A 4544-nucleotide genomic window follows, 5' to 3' on the forward strand; every position below is an offset into this window, starting at 1 on the left:
GGTCACACAGCAGGGGAAGAGCAGAGCCAAGGATTCAAACTCCAGTGAGTCTGACTCTGAATCATGATGAAGCCATATCCTGCCTTGATAACTTGGCAGAGGTTTTGTTCCAGGCTAAAGAATGAACGAAGAGCTTGAAGAGCTGTGCCTGTGAGCATGTGTATGCATGCATGTGTGTGTGTGTGTGTGTGTGTGTGTGTGTGTGTGTGTGTGTGTGTGTGTTTAGCTGACTACCACACTTCACTTCAGAGTGAGAGAGGCCTTGGTGGGGGAGAAGGAGGGGCATTCCCAGTCAGAAGAGATTCCCATCCTGCCCCATCTTTCTCCCTGCAGACACCTCCTCCCCTCCCTGCAGCTTCCTCTGCCCCAAGCTCCCTGCAGGCCCTGAGCCATCTCTGCCTTCTATGAGACCTAATTAAGCCCTGGTGAGGAGGTCGGAAGCATCAGTTCCTGGCAGGCAGCTCCCTGGAGTGGGGATAATGGTGGGTGGCGCATCCATGGATCCTGAGTAGGGTAGCAGAGATGTCTACTATAATCATAGTGACCATAACATCACCCTGCTAGCCTTAGGAAGAGCTGTAACAGTGGCTGCCATTGTTACGTTTATCCCCCCACTAGCCTGGCTCAGGGTTGCAATAAGCATTTATGAAGCATTCCCAGTTGACCATTAGGATCTTACTGGAGACAGAATCCTTTCCTCTCTGCTCCATCCTCATCCACTCATCTCAGTGGGAGTGTTTGAGGGGGGTGCCCCAGCTGGAAGAGCCCCAGACTTGGCCTTCAGTTCAACTCATTGCCCTGCTTTACAGAATAGGAGACTGAGGCCTCGGCAGGCCAAGTTCAAGGCTGGCCAGTGGTGGAGCTGGAACCAGAGGATGTGGTGCAGGGAGGCGAACCCGGGTCCCTCTCCGGGCCCTTTGGGACTGTGGGTCAGTGGAGATGGGGAGGCTGAGGCTGGAGAGGGCCAGCTCTCCCCAGGGGTCACTCAGGGGCTATGGCTGGCCCTGGGCTACCAGAGGGTACGGGGTCGTGGAGGGCCATGGTCCTGCTGATGAGGCAGCCTTGGTGAGGGGCCATGGAGCTGAACCCCGAGGCTCTGACTCCCCAACCTGCTTCTGGCAGCCGCCGCCTCAGGGAAAGCAGCCTTATTAGTGCAGCCGCCTGCATGGCCGTGGGTGCAGCCAGGGGCGGAAAAGGCCTTATTTACCCCAGTGCTGGACCCTGTGAGCAGTGGCCACACACACTGCAAGGGGAGCTCGCAGAGCCACATGTATGTCTCGGGCCCTGGGTCGACAGAGTGTGCTTAGACAGGCTTGCATGCTCAGGTAAGCCGGTTGGCCAGGCTTGTATGCTCAGGTAAGCCGGTGTATACAGAGACACACACAGGTGTGTGGTGACACACAACTGCATGGACGTTCCCACATCCACACAGCACGGGGCACACACATATGCATCTGGGTGTGCAAACACAAGTTCAGACATGCATGCACGTGTGTTCCCCTCCTCCACTCACGTCCACACTCATCTCTCTGCACACAGAGTCACACAACAGGTGCCCACGTACTCAGGAACATAGAAATCCACAGAAGCACAAATATAGACTTCACATGCATGTATAAGCTCCTGCCTGTTCACCCAGACACAGGCTGGTAAACGTGTACACTGAGAAGACACACACATGGGCAGGTCTCCAAATACTACCCCTGCAGCCAGGAGCACACACACCCTGAACACACGCACATATTCCCTTGCCCTTTCCATGGACAAGCACTCCCGAAAAGTAATCATTGACATCGGCACACCGGTGCACACGGTGTGTGGACTCATCTGTCTCTCTGTCTGTGCTAAGTTCTACTCATCTTCCTGAGGAACAGCACTTGATACATTTTTACGGCACTGTCGCTGAACCCAAACCTCATTTGATTCCCCCAGCCTTCCCTGGGCCAGACTTTATGTATCTCCGTCTTACAGATGATGAGAAAACTGAGCTTCAGATGGAGCAGGGGACTCCCCAAGACACCCCGATAGACACAGATGGCATGGGCAGTCACAGTCAGATGTCCTGACTGCATCCCAGCAGGGGTAGGGTTGTGGGAAATGGCACACAGGCCTAGGTTTGAATCCCACTCTGCTGCTTACAGCTGGGCTGGGTGACCTTGGGCAGGTCTCTTTACCTCTCAGAGCCTTGGTCCTCCCGCATCGAGACACGCAAACACCCACCGCCACTTGGTGGCGTTGTGCGGAAGGTGAAGGGAGAACAATGCAGAGGACAGGCTCAGAGCAGGGCATCCTGGAAGGAGTCAGCAGATTCACCCATCTTTATTCTTATTTCCATATTATTATTATTATTCACATAGACCATGTGATGACATAGACCATCAACAGGTCAAGGACGGAGGCCTGTGACAGATCCTTCTCCGACAGCCCCCCAAGGGAACCAAGTCTGCTGACACCTTGTTCAGGGACCTCTGGCCTCCAGAACTTCAAGACAACAAATTCCTATCACTTAACCACCCAGTATATTTTGTATGGCAGCCCTAGCACACTAATAGAGATTTTGGTCTATGACATTTTTCTCTATAGCAAATCCAGTGGGTTACCAGCAAGGTCCAACTATTTATCACCCCTCACCCCGGGGCCTGGTGGGTCTCAGGTGAGGGGAGCCTGGCCTTTCTGGGAAGAACAGGACCTGCACCTGCCCGCGAGGAGTCCTGGGGAGCCGGGATTCCCCAAGCACAGAGCACTGGCGTTGCCGCTGCGGAGACAGCCAGGCCCATTCTAACAGTGACTTAGGGCTGATGTAACAACCCTCGTATTCTTTTAGTGTGGCCTGAAAGGTGCTATTAAACGGAATATTGAGATAAGGAAGTGGGAGTCGGGAAAGGTTAGAAACTATTTATTCAGATTTTCATAGGGCACTAAAATATCCTCACCCGCTGCTGCTCACGGCCCCTCCCTCCTCCCCAGCCTGGGCTCCCAGCACACAGGAAGCTCTGGGCTGTCACGCTGCCTCTCTGGCTGGCCGACCTCCTGTGGCAGCCTGGACCTGCGAAGAGCCTGGGTTCTGGGCGGGAGGGGATCTGGGACCGAATCTTACCCTGGCTTGCCGACCTGCACATTAACCGAGCTTTGGAGCTTGGGGAATGGTGGGGAACCAAGGACAGGGTGGGACGGTGCAGGGTGCATAGCAAGGGGCAAGGAGGACCAGTGCCCCTCCTCTCTCCCCAGAGCCCCCCCCAGGCAGGAGTGGGAGGTTCACAGTGTTGTCTTCCCACTGCACGCCCCTTACAGCCCCCCAGCTCCTCCCTCTCCCAAAGTCAGAATCCCAGGCTCACGGCTCTGCTGGCATACCTCTGATGGGAACCTGATTACCTCCTGCAGATTTTCTCTCCCTTCTCCTCGGTCCCTCAGGGATCCTTCTGGAGGTAGAAGTCAACCCGTCTAACCAGCCTCCTCAAGAGGACCCCCAAAATCTGGCATTTAAAATCCAGGGGAAATCTCCCTCTTTCCTCCGCTGGAGATCCTTGCGGGAGAATGATGTCCAGGGAGGTAGATGGACTGTCAGCCCCACGAGGCAGGGTCTGTTGGTTTTACGCATTGCTGCTTCCCCAGCTCTTAGCAGAAGGCCTGGTGCATGGTGGGGCCACCAGAAGTGTTTGTGGCAGGCAGGAGCAGTGGAGAAAAACTAGGATTTGGCATGACACAGCTCTTGGTTCAAGACTGGTTCCTGTAACCTCCCTGAACCAGAGTGGTTTCATCTGCACAGTGAGGACTCGATGAGGCCGTGTATGTAGAACTCTCTGCATACGGTGGGCACAGATAAAGGCTGGTGTTCTTCCTCCCCTATGTCAGCCTCTCTCTTTTCTCCTTGGCAGCCCCGGAGAGCAGGTGGGTATCTGTGGATGGATACACTTCCCTGGTCATGGTTGGAAGTTCTGGGTGATTGGGGAGGATTGGCTGAAGGTGTGATTCTAGGTGATTCTGGAGGCAGTCACACACACTCTGGGACATGCAGCCGGATCTGCTGTGGGTGAGATAAGGAACCTGCCAGTTGGTTCTAACAGCAGCACAGAGGGGCAGAGGAGAACATTTCAGGACAGGGCAAGCACCTGTGCAAGGGCCCTGGGGCTAGTGGAAGCAGGTGAGTAGAGAGACTGGGGGTTGGGGTGGGAGGGTGTGGAGTGATATAGTTTGGATGTGTGTCCCCTCCAGATCTCATGAAATGTGCTCCCTAATGTCGGAGGTGGGGCCTGGTGGGAGGTGTTGGATCATGGGGTGGGTCCCTCATAGATGGCTTAGTGCCATCCCCTTGGTGATGAGTGAGCTCTCGCTCTGTAGTTCACGTGACAGCTGGTTGTTTAAAAGGAACCAGGCACCTCCATCTCTCTCTTGCACCCTCTCTCACCATGTAACATGCTGCCCCTCTTCACTTTCCTTTGTGATTGGAAGCTTCCTGAGGCCTCACCGGAAGCTGATACTGATGCCATGCTTCCTGCACCATCTGCAGAACTGTGAGCCAAATAAATCTCTTTTCTTTATAAGTT

The 4544-nt window shown here is 54.6% G+C and overlaps 1 annotated feature.

Annotated features, from left to right (window-relative positions):
• Window positions 1-295: a silencer, noted in NCBI's record as "tiled region #7329; HepG2 Repressive non-DNase unmatched - State 22:ReprW". NCBI's record gives its function as "represses a minimal TATA promoter and a strong SV40 promoter by Sharpr-MPRA in HepG2 cells {active_cell/tissue: HepG2}" and the evidence as "EXISTENCE:reporter gene assay evidence [ECO:0000049][PMID:27701403]".

The sequence above is a fragment of the Homo sapiens genome, chromosome 22 (genome assembly GCF_000001405.40).
Source record: "Homo sapiens chromosome 22, GRCh38.p14 Primary Assembly".
Lineage (NCBI taxonomy): Eukaryota > Metazoa > Chordata > Mammalia > Primates > Hominidae > Homo > Homo sapiens.